At 31.4% G+C, this 19,045-nt stretch overlaps 1 annotated feature.

Annotated features, from left to right (window-relative positions):
• Window positions 7,689-8,190: an enhancer, noted in NCBI's record as "H3K27ac hESC enhancer chr3:164038591-164039092 (GRCh37/hg19 assembly coordinates)". NCBI's record gives its function as "activates a minimal SCP1, AML or CMV promoter by ChIP-STARR-seq in naive H9 embryonic stem cells {active_cell/tissue: H9 hESC(naive)}" and the evidence as "EXISTENCE:reporter gene assay evidence [ECO:0000049][PMID:30033119]".

Raw genomic sequence — 19,045 nt, forward strand, 5'->3', positions numbered from 1 at the left:
ATAAAAATTATAGACGATAACATCAGAAAAACCCTTCTAGACACTGACTTAGATTTCATGACCAAGAATCCAAAAGCAAATGCAACAAAAACAAAGAGAAATAGATGGAACTTAAAACAAAAAGGCTTCTTCACAGCCAAAGAAATAACCAACAGAGTTAACAAACAACCCACATAGTGGGAGAAAATCTTCACAACCTATATATCTGACAAAGACTAATATCAAGAACCTACGAAGAACTCAAACAAATCAGCAAGAAAAAAACAAACAAACAAAAAAAAAAACAATCCCATCAAAAAGGTGGGTAAGGACATGAATAGGCAATTCTCAAAAGATGTGCAAATGGCCAATGAACATATGGAAAAATGCTCAACATCATTAATGATCAAGGAAATGCTAATCAAATTCACTATGTGATATCACTCTATTTCTGCAAGAATGGCCAAAATTAAATCAAAAAATATTAGATGTTGCCATGGATGTGGTGAAAAGGGAACACTTTTACACTGCTGGTGAGAATGCAAACTAGTACACCCACTATGAAAAACAGTGTGGAGATTCCTTAAGAAACTAAAAATAGATCTATCATTTGATTCAGCAATCCCACTACTGGGTATCTACCCAGAGGAAAAGAAGATATTATATGAAAAAGATACTTGCACATGCATGTTTATAGCAGCACAATTTGCAATTGCAGAAATATGGAACCAGCCCAAATGCCCATCAGTCAATGAGTGGAAAAAGAAAATATTACGTGTGTGTGTGTGTATATATATACATATATATATACATATATACACATATATATGTACATATATACACATATATACATATATATGTACATATATATACATATATGTGTATATATACATATATATGTGTATATATGTATATATATACATGTGTATATATATATGTAATAAAATATGCACCAGAAATTGATATAAACAAATCAGCCATATTAAAACTGGATATCAGTTTAATTATTATTCCCTGACTCAATGAAAAATAATGCTAAATGCTACTAGAAATTCATCTAAAGTAAAGCCACTTTAAATTACTGGCAATAATAAATAAATGAATATTTAATGAATACAAATAAACAATACCAAAAGTAAGAGTTGTTAACACTGAAAAAAATCAAAGCAGGAAAATTTTAAAAAGCACAAAGGTGATCAATCTGTGGCATATTTTCATACCAAATATGTGGCATTAAAATATATAAATTAGAGCTAACTCATAAGAATAAGAACATTTTGACAGAACTTTACTTATCAGTTGTCTGAAGATCATAACATTAGAAAGATAATATAACGCTGTTCAGTATGTAAATATCACAGGTAATAAATTAGATCTAATAGATGTTGAAATTTATACCTTGAAAGTAAAGAATCTCTGTTTTTTTAAACATAAACATTTTGCCAAGACAAAATTATAATCTTCAAAAATGACAAAGATAATATGTTATTTCTCTGATAAAATGCAATATAATTTGAAATTAATAAATACAATATTAAAAATTCATAATAAAAATTTACATGTTAATTAAAGGCAAGTATATTTGATGCTGTATGTGTGTGCATGACACAATTATTTTATCAAAATGAGAATCAAAGTGAAATTGTAGAATATTTAGAAATGCAAAGTACAAAGATACTTGTGTAAAATTTAATGAAATCCGACTATGTCAATAATCAGATGAAAATTCATGAACAGAAATTACCATAATATGAAAGAATAAAAATTTAAAAAATAGGAAAAATAACAAATTAGAAAAGACAGAAATGTGATCTTAAGGACAGTAAAGGAATGATATAACTATGAAAGCAAATACTATTTTTTGGAAAGAAATAAACTTGAACTAGTTAATAATATACAACTCAAAATAATAGACAAATAATCAAGTGATAAAGAATATTTTTACCATAAACTCAAAATTAAAAATCAACATCCATAATTATCAAGAAAAAGTAAATAGAATAGCCAAATATGCAAATATGAAATTTTCAGAAAATTAATTTCAAATGTTTAAGAAATACTATAAAGAATTTTATATTTGATAGTGTTATTAAGAGAATTCTCTCATGCATAATTAGTTAATATTTTATGTGCCTATTTGATATGAGAAATGATTAAGATATTGGAATGGATGAGCAAATGTTATATTGTCACATATTACTGGTGGTAACTCTACAGGTAACAATAAAGTAACATTTATTCAGAATTAAATTTCCACATACTCTTTGACCCAGAAAATTCACTCCTGGAACTGTATCTCACGTTATTAAAAATGCTGTTATGTGAATAAATATATGCAAATAATTTATTACAATGCTATTTATAGTGACTATATACTGGGAACAAAGTAAGTGCAGATTACTAGATGTTTTAATCAATTAGCAGATTACTAATGTTTTAATCAATTATGTTATAGACTCGCATAGAACATCATGTAGTCATTTAACATGTCTATGAATTATATACATATTGACTAGATAAATGAACATGCTCCTTTATTGAGAGAAAAATCTAAAGCATAGTGAAGTATGTAACATCTCACCTTATTTTTTAAGGCAATAATAATTTGTATTATTATGTGTATGCACATAATTTATATGGGGTATCCATGTGTCCGTTTAAAATTAAATTAATAGATTAATAAATATTATCTATGAATAACATATATGCATATCAATTAGAAATGTAAAATAAACTAGCTAGATTCATGGATACATTATTTGGAGATGTCCTGGGTATATTTTTAAATAAAAATAGCAAGTTGCAGATTTATGATATTATATTTAAGCAGTGAATGTATTACTAATTAGATTTTTTAAAAAACTTACATTTGAGCAAGAAAAAATATAAGTAATCATATATATAAGGGTCTGGTTGCACAGAGAATTATACATGCCAGATTGTTAAAAATGTTATATTTGATATGACGGTACAGGAAGAGTGAAGATGGGAGTACAAAAATGATTAGCTCTCTGGTTATATATGTTGGTATTACTACAATGGTTAAATATTTGTATAAATACAATGGTTAAATATTTGTAGTAGAATTGTATGAATAATTCATAAGTCTTTATGGATTATGTTGAACATTATGTTGCATAAAAGTATTGAGAATTTATGAATAAAGGTACATGAGGGAGAAGTAAATGTTCATTCAGTATACCCAATTTAACTTAATTTAGGAAATGCCCTGGAGGCTTAATGATACTCAATCCAGTACATCACTAGCTAACAATGTTTTATAACTTTTACTGTAAATTATATTTTGTTGTTTATTGACATTAGCCTGGCAAATGTCACTTTTAAAGTGCGGAGTTTTAAGTGTTGAGTAAGTTGTAGTGAGGTTGTTTTCAGTTATCTCTTTACATAACATTTGAGAAAAGTTGTCAGTTTAAATTTAAACTAACAAGTAATATAATTAGTCAAGGCAGCATCTCTAAGTCTTAGAAAGTTAACTTCAATATTTGAATCTCCTTGCCTTCATTATAGCAGAAAATTCCATTATGTAAATAGTCTTCTTAATTTTATTGAATTTAGTGGCAATAACTCTGATTTAGATGTTTAAATCATAATTGTGTGCTTCTAATATATTTTTATTGTGTGTCTATCAAAAGCAAGCATTTAAAAAATCAAATCTTTTAAGGCTCTTTTGCTAGAATGTTTTCATACTGAGATGATCTGATATTGGTAAGTTTAAATTACATTCTTAGAAAATACAGTCACTAACAAGACTACTTACACCATTTTAAATGTTACTGATACTAAGACTAGCTTTTGATAAATAACTTTGTTTCAGTTCTGCTATAAAAACCATTGTTAAAAACGTATGATATAAACCTGAGATATTTTCCAAATATTTAAAGTGTTTAATATATGCACACAGCAATACTTCTACTTAGAGGCCATGAAACTTGATAATTATAAAAATTTAATAGTAATATTTTGTGATTAGATTAAGCATTAGTCTAATGTTTAATAAAGATCTTTCAGTTTAACTTGCAAAGGTAGCTTTGAACTTCAAATGAGAGTAAGTATGGAAGAGGATTTGTAATTCCTTTGCTTCTGTAGATAAGCACATAAGAAAACCATTCAGTCATATTTTTCTATAAAACTACTGAAATTGGTGGATGCAAAGAAGCCTTAATGAGTTGAATTTAAGAAAAGTGCAAAGCTTTCTAGTTAACTGGAGAGTCACATTAGCAAAAGCTAGGGTAAATCATGTCCAGGATGCAGATAGTTTGAGGAGTGTGTCTGCAATAGAGAAATGGATTTTGCATGGGAGAGGAGAAATCAGGAAATTCTAATAACAGTGTGGACAGTTAGGGCAGATTAAAATCTAATAGAACTCTCAACGTAAGAAAAACATTAACAAACCCACCAGTTTTTCACCCTCTCCAGCTCAAAAATTTACAAACAAATTAATATTCATGAAAGGAATAGAAACTTAATAATTTATTCAATCTTTCATATTATCATGGGGTTTGAATTCCTGGGAACTTCAGAGTTGAAGCTAACTGCAAATCAAAAGCTCATGGAAATACTGCGCAACCACGTTCCAGCTTAAACTCTGTCAAAATCAAGAGTTGGCTGGGAGTTAGTTTACCCAGATATTAATTCAATATGAGGAAAGATGCAGGCCTGCCTCCAAATCAGCTGGACTCTTGTTTATGCCAATAACCCCCAAAACAAAAGGCTTTACACTATGTGGAAAACACAAACAATATTACTTCAGACTCCACTGTTCTTTTCTACATTATGTCTGTAATGGAATAAGAAAAATTACATAATATATGAAAAAAGCAAGAAAATATGGCCCAAAAGGAAAGAGGAAAAAGGTAACCAATAGATAAGAATCAGATTTGACCCAGATTCTATCGTGAGAAGATATAGGAAGACAAACAAATTAAAACATAAATAAATTGAATATATAGTAAAGATTACAGCAGCAGTCACTGAAGTTTATTAAAAAGCCAACTGTAGAGCAAACTAATAAAACCCAACATTTTTCTCCAAAATAATCATTAAAATACTTAAACAGCTAATGAGGCTAAGTAAGGAAAAAGAAAATGCAAGTTACCAACATCATGAATAAAGACAGGATTCCAGTGCACATTAGAAAGGATAACTGTCTGATATTATGAACACCTTTACACCAACAAATTCAAAAACTAAGTTTATATAGACAAATTACTTCAAAAACACCATTTACTAAATCACACAGAAGATAAACTAGAAAATCAGAAAAGCCCTATATCTAAAGCAAATTAATTTATCAGAAAGCATCCCACACAGAAAAATAAAAGCTCACATGCTTATCTGATGATTACATCAAACATTTTAAAAATACCAATTTTTATAAAATTATTCCAGATAATAAAAGAAGAAATAATACTAGGCATCTCATTTCATGGCCTAATTAACCACCTAAATAAAACTTGACAATGATATTATATGAAACCACAGATCAATAACCTCATGAACATTAAAGCATGAATTCTTTACAAAATATTAGCAAATCTAAATAAGCAATATACAAATATACAATACACCATGATTAAGTGTGATATATCACAAATAAATTAGTATTCAAGAAAGGAATAGAAATTTAATAATTTATTCAATCTTTCATATTATCATGGGGTTTGAATTCCTGGGCCCTTCAGAGTGCAAGATCAGACCAATATTTGAAAAGCAATCAATGCAATTCATCAGATAAAGGAGAAAAAACAAGCCAAAAAAAGTAATATCTCGATAGATTCAAAAAAATTTCTGAAAAAACTTAACACATTTTCTTTTTAAAAACCCTGGGAAAATCAAGAAATAAGAAAGCTATGTCATAAATCTCATAACGATTATCTACCAAAAACCTACAACAGATATCAAAATTAATAGCAAAAAGTTAAATACTGTCTTCCTAAGATCAAGAAATCATGCACATGTGCTCTCAGCATGTCTATTTGAAATTTTTTAAAGAAGGTCCTACTTGTTATAACAAGCTAAAAATGTATATATAGAAGTTATAAAGATAGAAAAGGATGATTAATAATCTTTCTAATCATAGAAACCATGATTTTTTAATACAAAAATTCTACCAGAATCACAAAACAAATTCTAAAAATAATTTAATTCAATGAGGCTACAGTATATACTATAAATTAATTAAATGAGGAGATAACGTTTTCATCAAATATATAGGAACAAAAGGATATCCGTAGAAAAGAAGCCACAATTCCTGGACTAATAATAGAAAAAATAATTAGAGGTTAAATTTGGCCAAATTTAAAAGGTAAAATCATAAATCTACTCAAAGAATACAAAGGCAATCTTTGAGATGTTGAGGTAGGCAAAGATTTTAGAGACACAAAGCAAAAAGCAACATCTATAAATAAAAACAAAAGATTAGCAAACTAAAAGCCTTGTGCTCATCAGTTCACCATTAAGAAAATCATTTCCCTATAAAGGATTAGGAGAAAGTATTTACAAAACATACCTCTGATAAAGTATTTATATCAAGAATATAAAAGAGCTCCTACAAATCAACAAAAGATTTAAAACTAATGGTTGAAAAAATGGTGGAGTATAGGAGAACTGCCTCTTCACAAAGGAAAATATACACGTGGCTAATAAGAAACACTAAAATCTACTTATCATCATGTATTACTGAAACAGTGTATACTATTTCAATTACCTAGGTGAAATAAATAACTGTTTATCTCCTAAATTTTGTGTTGGTATCTAATTACCACACAATAAAATGATACCTCTTAAGTGTTCAATTTAATGAGTTTTGACATTGCTTACTCTCATATAACTCAACAATGTAATAAAGATATAGAATATTTTAATCACCCAAGAATGTTTCCTTTTTCCATTTCCAAATATTTTCTTTCTACCACTGATCCTTCTACCCAAAGGCAAACAAGTTCCAATTTCTATCTCTGCAGCTTAATACTGCCTATTATTTTAGTTCATATACATGAAATAATATATAATGTAATCTTTTGTTTCTGGCTTGTATTTTTTAACATATTTATAATTCTCTAATATTAGTTGGTATTTCAATAGTGTGATTTTTTTTATGGGTTAGAAATATTCCATTGAATAAATAGTATATGGTTCTTTTAAGCATTGTCCTATTGGACATTTGTGTTGTTTTCAAGTATTAGCTATTTTGAGTATGGTTGGCATTAATGTTTCTTATATACTCCAATAGCATGGCTATTGGACCTTTTTAATAATTGTTTCAAAGTCCTTGATGTTCTATTTATTTTTTTCTCAGTTTTATAACTTAATTATTATTGACTTATTCAAATTCAATGCCCGTTCTCTCAACCACATCCATTGTGCCATTGAGCCTAACCAGATTTTTTTTTAATTTCAGAAATTGTATTCTTTTGTCCTAAATTTTTTATTTATCTTTAATAGTTTATATTTCTTTGCTGAAACTTTTACCTTCCTATTTTTTTCAGTGCTTTTACTTTTACCTCAGAGAACATGTTTATAATAGTTAAACTCTTTGATAATTTGAACAGATCCATCATCTCAGCATTGTCAACTATTGATTATTTTTTTCCCTTGAGAAATGTCTCCATGTCTCAAATTAGTGTATGTTGTGTGATTTTGGATTGTATCCTGGACAATTTGAATATTACGTTGTATAGACTATAGGTCTTTATGCAGTCCTCTAGAAAATTTGTACTTATTGTTTGCCTCAGCAGGTAATCAATATGATTGGTTTTAGATTGCAAGTTCTATCTTGTCTTCTAGGTAATTCTTCCACATTTTTATTACATGACTTTGCATCTGCCTGATGCATGTGCCACTCAAGGCTAACTCTGAGAATTGGACCGTAATTTACATCTGAATCCAATTTTCAATGCTTTTACTATGTTAATTTAGGTCGGTCCTACATACTCACACCTCAGGAATAAGCCTGAGGCTTGTAAGATTTCATTAGAGAAGGGGTCCCCAACCCCCAGCCCAAAGACCAGTAGCAGTCCTGGCCCGTTAGGAGCCGGGCCACACAGCAGGAGGTGAGCAGCAGGTGAGTGAGCATTACCGCCTGAGCTTCTCCACTCCTTATGAGAAGCTCTAATGCCTGATGGTCTGAGGTGGAACAGTTTCACCCAGAAACCATCCTCCGACTCCGTCCCTAGTGCCAAAAAGTTGAGGAACTGCTGCATTAGAGGATTCCCTTTTCCAGCTTTCTACTGTCTGGGATGCCCTCTCACATGCTATGGCCCACAGGGCTACCATTTTTCAGTTCCTCTAGCTAAAACATGATGATCATCTCGGAGTTTTAGTCACCCACGCTGCTGCTGTCATGTAGCTCTATGATTAAGGCCCACAAGCTGAAAGGGTTTCTACCAGAGTTTTGGCCACCTTTATCTCCCACTTTACAGCTTTGCAACTGGGACCCACACATGGGGCAAAGTCATGAGAAAATAACTAAAAATAAAGTTAACTCTCATACAGATTACTTCTTCAGGTGCTGTCTTCCCTCTACCAGCTGCCTTCTTTTATTTAATTTCTGAGTCCTCAAATTATTTTCTTACCAGAATTTTTAGTTGCAGCGCTATTATTTTAACACCAAACTCATCAGCAGGTAAGATAGGCTGTGGTGAGCTTATCCTCTATAGATCAGAATTAGAACTCCAGTGTATGGAAATTTTGCCTCAAAACTTTAAAAAAATACATTGAATTCCTCTTACCCAGTTTTGTCTTTACTATAGTACAGGTTAGAAATTGTGAACTATTTTCCATCTCTTCCATGTTTAAACAAATATGAAATATGTTGACAATAATAGGAGACAACATTTTCACTACTGGATTTGTAAATTAAAACTTAAAAGGGGAAAATTAGAAAGTTTTATGTAATTGAGGTTATAGCAAGAACTCTGAAATCATATATATATATATATAAACACACACACACATATGTATATATGTATATTATAAACAGGTTAGTATCCCTTATGCAAAATGCTTGGGACCAGAAGTGTTTCAGATTTCAGGTATTTTTGTATTTTGAAATATTTGCCTATACATAATGAGATATCTTGTAGGTGGGACCCAAGTCTAAACGTGAAATTTATTTAAACTTCATATACACCTTATATACATAGTCTCAAGGTAATGTTATACAATATGTTAAGTAATTGTGTGCATGAAGCAAAGTTGTATATGTTGAGCCATCAGAAATACAAGTGTAAATATGGAATTTTTTATTTATTGCATAATGTTGGCATTCAAAAAGTTTCAGATTTTGGAGCATTTTGGATTTTGAATTTTTGGAGTAGGAATGCTCAATCCATGTATGTGTTTAGTTTATATATGTGTGTGCATATATCTTCTAGCTTTTTTCACTGAGTGGGTCTAGAACAGAATTATCTAATAGAATTTCCTGTGATGACAGAATGTTTCCTATCTGTGCTGTTTATCCTATCACTAGCCACATTTGGCTATTAAGCACTTTGAATGTGGCTAGTATGACTGAAAAACTGATTTTAAATAGTATTTATTGTAACCGATTTATATTTAAATTAAAATAGCCACATGTTGATGTAGCTATTATATTTGACAGCAAAGAACTAGTAGCACACATATAGCATTAGCAATGAGTACACATAGACCTATATTTTGATTTTTAAATTCCATATCTTACTAAAATAAAATAATCAGAGAAAAGGCTGATTGCAGAGCTGGGTCAGGGAAACTATGAAATGAGCTTAGAGAATCATGCTATAACAAAAGGTAAATAAGCATTCAAAGAATGAAGAGACATATAAAAATAATATGATAAGCAGATTGAAGGATTCCTGCTGGTCAAATCTGGGACAATTATGGGATTAAAATAAATATCAATCATCACAAAATATAATCTGTTAGATAAAATAGGATTCCATGAGCCCTTTTGACTATAAATTGATAAATGCATAAATAAAAAGAATGTTAAAACTACTTCTTACTGTGTAGCGTCTAATGTCAATGATGGAGAGAATGATGGAGTTAGAAAGGTACCTGTGGATGCTAAAACTACTTAGTGAACATGTGATGAATAACCGGATATTTATAATTACTTTCATGTATGTGATATTTATGTTTTAAAATATTTATATTTATATTCTTGAAATATCTCTTATAAAACATACCAATTACCAAGAAAAATAATATTAACTTTACAGTGAGGAGATTTGGCAGACACTATCTTATGAAAGTGATCTAATTTTATCTATATCAATATAGGAACAAACCAATATCATGTGTTTCCTGATATTGTGCCCTGAGAAGAACACAATATTATTTCTGTAGTATTTCTGCCAAAAATTTATAAACTGGATTCAATTATAAGAAATTATCACAGAAAACAAAATTAAAAGTCATTCAACAAGTTAACTTGACTGTACTGTTTAAATGTCAAGGGCAAGAAAAAACATAATTTTGTAGGTTAAATGAGACTGAAAAGAATTGGCAATTAAATGTAATGCATTGTTCTAGACTAGGAAAACAAGGAGCCATTAAGGACATCAGTAAGACAATTGACAAAATGTGAGTATGGACTAAAGTTAGATATTAGTATTATATCTATGATATAATTCCCGGTTTTGATAATTGCACTGTGGTAGTGTAAGATAATGTTGTTGTACTAAGAAAATGCACACACTAATTTAGGGTAAACTAGCAAGACATGAATACACTCAAATGGCTCAGAAAAAAAAGATCAGTGTCATAAATTTTATGGGAGGAAATGTAAGGAATTGGTGAATCCAAATGAAGACTTATTTGTGTAATCCTTGCAACTTTTCTGTAAATGTGAACTAAGATAAAATTATATACAGAGTGCAAATCAATGTGTTTCTTAATAAAAGCAAATATATATATATCAAAAACATAAAACACTTAGAAATACTTTTAATAAAAGTTGTGCTAAGTCTCTTACAAAACATGACAGACTCACTATTTTGAGTTATCAATGCACTTCAATGTAATCTATAGAAGAAAGTCCGCCACTGTCAAAATTCTGTCAGGATTTTTTATAGAATTTGACAGGCTAATTTTAAAACTTTATATAGAATAGAAAGGACCTAAAATATACAACAAAACTTTTTTAGAAAAATATAATAAAATTGTAGAAAATACACAATGTGATTTCAGGACTCACTGGTATGTTACACTAGTTGAGATATTGCAAAAGACATAAATAAATCAATGAAAGAGGATAGAGAATCTAGAAACCAACTTGCACATTATATATTAAAATGACTGTTTACAGAATATCAATGGAAATGAGTGAATACTGGAAAGTAACTTTCTTTTTTTCAACATAAAAAAACTCCATAGTTTTGTCTTTCTAAAATTGTCACATAATTAGACTTATATAGTATTTAGTCTTTTCAGATTCCTTCACTTGGTAATATGCATTTAAGCTTTCTCCATGTCTTTTCATGGATTAGTAGCTCATCTATTTTTAGCAATGAATCATATTCCATTGTATGGATACATCACAGTTTATACATTCTCCTACTTAAAGGCATTATAGTGTCTTCCAAGTTTTAGCAATTATGACTAAAGGTGCCTTAAACAGCCATATGCATACTTGTTTGGATATGTTATCAATTCTTTTGAGTAAATACCAAGGAGTGCAATTGCTAGATTTTATGGTACATTTAATTTTGTAAGAAACTGTCAAACTTGCTTCCATAATGCCTGTAATATTTTGCATTCCCACCAGCAATAAATCAGAATTTCTTTTGTTCACATCTTCACCACCATTTGGTGTTGTTAGGTGTTGGTCATTCTAATATGTCGTGGTATCACATTGTTGTTTCAGTTTGCATTTTCTGGATGATATATGATGGGAAATATATTTTCGTATGTTATTTCCCATCTGTATATCCTCTTTGGTTAGGTGTCTGTTAAAGTCTTTCACCCATTTTTACATCAGGTTGTTTGTTTTCTTCTTGGTGAGTTTAAGGAACTTTTAAAGATCAGTGGTTGCCAGGGATTAACAGAGGAGTGAAGGTAAGTAGGCTGAACACAGAGGATTTATAGAGCAGAGAAAATACTCCTCATGATATCATAATGGTAGACACATGTCATTATACATTTTTTCAAACCCATAGAATGTACCATAGGAAGAGTGAATCCTAATGTAAGCTATAGAGTTTGAATGACAAAAATCTTTCAATATAGGTTATCAGTTGTAACAAATGTTACAACTCAAAATGTTACTCAAATGTTACAATGTTAAATCCTCTTTTGGAGGATGTAAATAATAGAGGAAGCTACACATGAGAGAAAGCAGGAGTTAAATGAGATATCTCTGTATACCTTCCTCTCAATTTTGCTGTGAACCTAAAACTGTTCTTAAAAATAAAAAAAACTTAAAAAAAGAAAAAGTGACCCAAAGTATATATGCTATGAGTACTATTACTTTCATAATATGCTAAATAAAAATTTATTTTATCACAAGTGTTGATTACTTGCTTTTAAATGCTAATTTTAAATATTTTAAATAACTAATTTACCTACATTTGACTATTTTTATTCTGAATGTACCTGAACTGGGTCAGACTTTGTATGCATTAAAGTTTCCATAAATGTAATTTTGTTAGGAAATTACCATGCAGTTGAGCAAACATTACTTCTTAAAGAGCCCAAAATAATAAATGAGCATAAATAATACAGAGTGGTATATAGTATTCATAGTAATCTGTGTACTAGTTCTTATCTGAAAATGTGACTCTACTGTGACATGTAGTACACATACAGAATGTATTACTGTGCTATAAGCCAACTAAAATATTAAATGAATTTATCTTATATATTAGGAATGAGAAAAAATTTGGCACAAACAATAAGCATAACTGACTCTAATTCAAACTGCAACATCTTTTTTCTGTTGGTAAATGACTTAAGGAAATGTTTCTTTTTTTACTCTAAAATATGTGAAGCAATCTTGTTGCATTCAAACCCCACCTACCTAATAACTCATGAATGCAAATTGAGCATATCCATGGGTTTTCTACTGATTTGTTTCTGAAATGCTACTTTTCTCTTGCTTTGATTTGATACCACAATTTTAGTACCACCACAGAATCATCAATTCTTACACAGAATTACTTTAGCTTCTCTGTCTCTTGACTCCTGGTTTCCCCACAGTCTTTCTTTATTTTAGACTAATTAGAATAACCCTCTGTGGGGAACGGGGGAGGCAGGCTGCATAGAGGAACCAAAATGAGAGAGTTGTAAAATCAGAAACCATTGCTAAATATATTCCCTCATTTACTGAAAATATTTAGAAATTAGGGAAAAAAGAAAAAAAATTAAAAACTGATGGAAGTGGCAACTAGTTTAAAATTATAAGTGTTGCTCTTAAGGTCTACTGATTGGCCTTAAACCTTTTTTTATTATAAATATAATTATAAAATTTTTTAAGTAAACAATATTTTTATTCATACAGTGAGAAAAAAATTACCTGGAATGATAAGAATAATTATTTTTAAAAAAGTAGTAAATACCAATAAATACACTTAAAATATTAACTTTAAAACTTAAAAGTGTAATTTAAAGAGAAGTGCAAACCCCAAAGTATCTGACACAGGTCTCAATCAATTTAGAAGTTTATGTTGTCAAGGTTAAGGACATGCCCAGGGGACAATTCTGTGCCTTTTCCAAAGATTATTCTGAGGGCTTGAATATTTAAGGGGAAAAGCAAGCTGGAGGGGAAAGAGAGAGGATGTGGTCACATTACTGAATCCACATGTTGCAAGAGAAAAGGGGCAGACAGGGGAATAGTCCATTATATATTCTTCTCATGCTCAGTAAATCATCACTTAAGGTGAACATAGAGTAGCTACTTAGGGAGATAGCTACCTGTGGAGAAAGCTCTCTGCTTAGGAGCAAAAGGAAAGGCAGTTTAATGTTATTTCTTTTAGAAAATTTTTTGGAGAAATCATTTTAGAAGAAAATGAGTCTCTGATCTTGATTTTTGTTGATCTCTCAAGTCTAGGACACTTTATTCTTGGATGAATATGTCCCACATAGTTAGAAAAGCTCATTTTTAGGAGGTTGTGAAAAAAACAAGGTCCTATGAAGTAAAATAGGGGGAAGAAGCAAAAAAAAAAAAAAAAAAAGAGGGAGAGAAAAGGATAAACAACAAACAAAACAGGGAGAACAATCCTGAAAGCTAATATAAGCCATATTACTGTGAAGTCCATAAACCAGTAGGCATGTAAGAAAATGGTTTTATGTATATGTGTATATATATATATGTATATATAAAAAACAGTTATTTTCTTCTAACATTTAAATTGTCTAGATTTAGTATTTCCAATTCACAAAAATGGAAAAAAAAGAAGGAAAAAATTAAAAACATTATTTTGGAGATTTGTGGTCAGGATAAGTTTTAGGATTCAGTCCAAACTGTAGAAAATAATAAGAACTGTACAACATTGGATGAGACTAGAATCCAATAACAGGTGAACTATAGTTTATTTTGAAACATTACTTTTCTCTTTTCAATTCCCCAATTTTATTAAAGACAAAATCATAATAGGACCAATTCATTTGTAAAATAAGTTTTAGTCTAATTATACTTGGTGTAAGTGTTAAACAAAGAGGAAAGAGAGATGAAAAGTGGCTCAACCATCAAAGACTGGTTTATTTTAAAGAACTTAAACAATTTAAAAGGAAAAAAATAACTCCATCAAAAAGTGGACAAAGGATATGAATAGACACTTCTCAAAAGAAGACATTTATGCAGCCAACAAACATATGAAAAAAAGCTCATCATCACTGGTCATTAGAGAAATGCAAATCAAAACCACAATGAGATACCATCTCACACCAATTAGAATGGCGATCATTAAAAAGTCAGGAAACAACAGATGCTGGTGAGGATGTGCAGAAACAGAAATGTTTTTACATTGTTGGTGGGAGTGTAAATTAGTTCAACCATTGTGGAAGACAGTGTGGCAATTCCTCAAGGACCTGGAACCAGAAATACCATTTTACCCAGTAATGGATTACTCAAAGGATTAAAAATTATTCTACTAAAAAGACACATGCACACGTATATTTATTGCAGCACTGTTCACAATAGCAAAGACTTGGAATCAACCCAAATGCCCATCAATGATAGGCTGGATAAAGAAAATGTGGCACATATATACCATGGAATACTACGCAGCCATAAAAAAGGATGAGTTCATTTCCTTTGTAGGGACATGGATGAAGCTGGAAACCATCATTCTCAGCAAACTGACACAAGAACAGAAAACCAAACACCACATGTTCTCACTTATAAGTGGGAGCTGAACAATAAGAACACATGGACACACAGGGGCCTGTCGGGATATGGGGGACTAGGGGAGAGATAGCATTAGGACCAATACCTAATGTAGATGACGGGTTCATGGGTGCAGCAAACCACCATGGCAAGTGTATACCTATGTAACAAACCTGCACATTCTGCACATGTACCCCAGAACTTAAAGTATAATATTTTTTTTTTTAAAAGAAAAGAATAAACCTGAGAAGGACTTCCTGCTGAGTTAGGTCAGGAGCATTCTCTCTTACCAGACTAAGAGTATTTAAGGGTTCAATTCTGTAGAGATTATCACAGGCTTGCAATGTTTTTGTGTCTGTCTTGCTTATCTGGGAGGGAGAGTTGTGTGTTGGTTCTCATACATTTTCCTGCAGCTGCAGGCATACCCTCTGAGTATGCTTTTAGCTTCCCTATCTTAATGCACCTAAAGGGAAAGGAATGTGCTTATTAGGGTCCACAGTTTTACTGGGGCCCATTGTATGAGTGTGAAATTTGGTGGTTATCCAAGAGACTTTGCCCCCTCCTTCCCCGCCTGAGCTGTTTTACCTGTGATTTCCTGTCTGCTCTTTTTGGCTGCTTGTTGTTAGAAATTATTTCAAATGCATGAGGTTAGAAAGGGAGCTGGAACTTAAAATGGCGGTGTTTTTCCAAGATGATAGTGCTCCTGCTCTGTCACTTGGTTTGATTATTTGCATAAGGTTCAGCAAGAATAATATTTGCCATATAGGCTCTCTCTCTCTCTTTTTTAATTGGCTTTGCAGGGAGCTTTTCCATAAGGAATCTAAGACTGGATCTTTTTAAAAGTCTCAAGCCCGACCAAGGATTTATCTGTGCCTGAAGATACCTATATGAATTGGGTGTATTCCTCTTTTTTTGAGATCTGGGGAAAACTTGGGGTTCCTAGGCCTGCCAGAAAGTGACATTCTTTATTTACCACAAGTCAGGTATCTATAAAGGAAAAGGTATAAGGCCAGTTTTTCCAAAGAACTTTTATCAGCTCTATAGGTCAGACTCATTTTCTCAAGGCAATCTAAAAGTATTCCATTTTACTCAAAGCCTTGGTAATATAACCAGTGACTCCAATTATGCCTTGTTATAAAGTAAAACATATATTTTTTTTTATTTTTTGAGAAAGAGCCTTGCTCTGTCACCAAGCAGAGTGCAATGGTGTGATATCAGCTGACTGCAACCTCTGCCTTCTGGATTCAAGCAATTCTCGTGCCTCAGCATACCAAGTTGCTGGGATTACAGGCACACACCATCAGGCCTAGCTAATTTTTATATTTTCAGTAGAGACCAGTTTTGACATGTTGGCTAGTCTGGTGTTGAACTCCTGGTATCAGGCAATCCACCCATTTTGGCCTCCCAAAATGCCGGTATTACAGGCATAAGCCACGTCACCCGGCCCATAAAACAGATTCTTATAAAACTTATGCAAATAACTATATTGTCAAAAATTAAGAATACTCTCACTCTCTGAAATTTTGAAGAAATTGGGTAGGGAGAAAAGAATTAAATTTTAAAATTTGCTCATAAGAGTATATTTTATTCAATTGTCAAAAATTGCAAATAGCTTGAAAGAAGAAAAAGTTTTCCTGACTCTGAAAAACAAAACAAAAAGAATTAGCAAATTTTTTAACTAAAAAGTCATAAAAGATTATTTTAGTACTCTATTAGTTGAGCCCATGCAATTTATTTCTGTTCTGCTCAGTATTGGATCAACGATCCTCATGAATACATCAGCTTTCCATGAGAGTCCTGAAAGTTATTTTTTCTATTTTAATGGCAGTCTGTCTCTAAAGTGATCAGAAACCTGTATTTAAGAGTACTCCTCAGATATCTATAGATGATTATAAGCTGCCCTATAAAAGGATCAAAGTGAAACAACAATTATGGATCATAAAAATTATAGAACATCCATGGTTGAAGACACAGTTAACAAAGAAATCTGATTACTTCTGTGGCATATAACAATTTTACATGGCAATCATAATTACTTCTGAAAAAATATACTAAGATGTATCACAATCATAGGAATATCACACGATTTTGAAACACATACTACTAATGCATTCATATAACTTTAATTCAAAGATGATTAAACAACATTTCATATTTGAAAATGCCTCCTATATGATTTTATTACACTAAGTGAACCAAACATGTCTCTTTTGGACTTAAGGGGACATGATATTAAAAAAAAAAATTAATGAAGTCTAAAGGACAAACTTCGGAATTTGATTTGAAAATTTATCAGGTATAAAAATTTTAAAACACTGATATCACAAAATAGGATCACAGGTCATTGTAAAATAAGTCATTCATTTAGCCAAAGTGATAACCCAAAGAGTTCACAAAAAAAGTCTAAAACCTTTATTCTTTGAGTAGACTTAATTTTTCAAACAGTAAGTCCTAATAAAGACAGCATGAGGCCAATTAATTTTGTCTCTCAAATGTTATAAACAAAGCTATTAAATTTTAATCATCTTGACCACAAGATATAATTTCCATGAATGTCTCTATAACCTTTTATGATATTTTTTAAGTTGGTTAATGCTCCAAGAAAATCTTGTTAATCTGACACAGGGGCCCAGATGCTTGTCTTGTTTCATTGTGCCTTTGATATTAATGTTTAATTTATAGAGAAAATCCAAACTAATTTTCTGTCTCAAAATTAGCCCTTATAGTCTCCTGTGCCTGTCTCTTCCATGATAATCCCTGGGCCTGGAGGGGTTGAATAGTTTCAACTTCTGGCCCTGTGTCTCATGAAAGCAGTTTATTTTGATTGTCATCTTCACCTGGGTTTGAAGATGAGGCTTTAACTGCTGCCAGTGTTTAATATTTAGCAGGAGTCGGTGTCCTATTTAGACATAGGAGTCAAAGCCCTGCAACTTAACAGCATAAGCACTTTAAAAGCAATAAAGAAAGTTACAGAGATGTAAAAAACTTAATTAAAAAAATTAATCTCGTTTTTCTTAAGCAAACCAAAAGTTAGTAACAATGTCATAGGATTATTTTAATAAAAAATAAAACTGTGTTTAGTCTAGTTACCAAAAAGAAAAAAAAAAAAAAAGAGCCTCTGTAGTGTGATTGTTTTTCCCTATGGGGAGCCTATTTAGACATAAGAAGAGTGTGTCCTTGGTCATAAGTGAAAATTTTCAGTTTCAAGGAACTTTTTTTTTTGAGACAGAATCTGGCTCTATCACCCAGGCTGAAGTGCAGTGGTGTGATCTCTGCTCACTGTAACTTCCACCTCCTGGGTTGAAGCGATTCTCCTCAGCCTCTTGAGTAGCTGGGAATACATGCAAGCACCACCATACCTGGCTAATTTTTGTATTTTCAGTAAAGGTGGGGTTTTAACATGTTGGCCAGGCTGGTGTCAAATTCCTGGCCTCAAATGATCCGCCTGCCTCAGCTGCAAAAATTGCTGGGATTACAGGCGTGAACCACCTCACCCAGCCTCAAGGAACAATTTAAAGCCAAGAGCACAGAATATTACATAGGAACAAAACATTTCTTTAGATCTTTATGATAAACATTTTTAGCATCAGGCCACAACAGCAATTAGAACCTGTGGGAAAAAAAAAAAATTACTGTATCTGATGAGAAAGTTGAAAGAGAGTTATCTCAGGCCTTGTTTTCAAAGGTTAAGTGTGCAAGTGTCAAATATGTGTATTAGACAAAGGAAGAATCTTGTGG

Source organism: Homo sapiens, chromosome 3, assembly GCF_000001405.40.
Source record: "Homo sapiens chromosome 3, GRCh38.p14 Primary Assembly".
NCBI classification, from domain to species: Eukaryota; Metazoa; Chordata; class Mammalia; order Primates; family Hominidae; genus Homo; species Homo sapiens.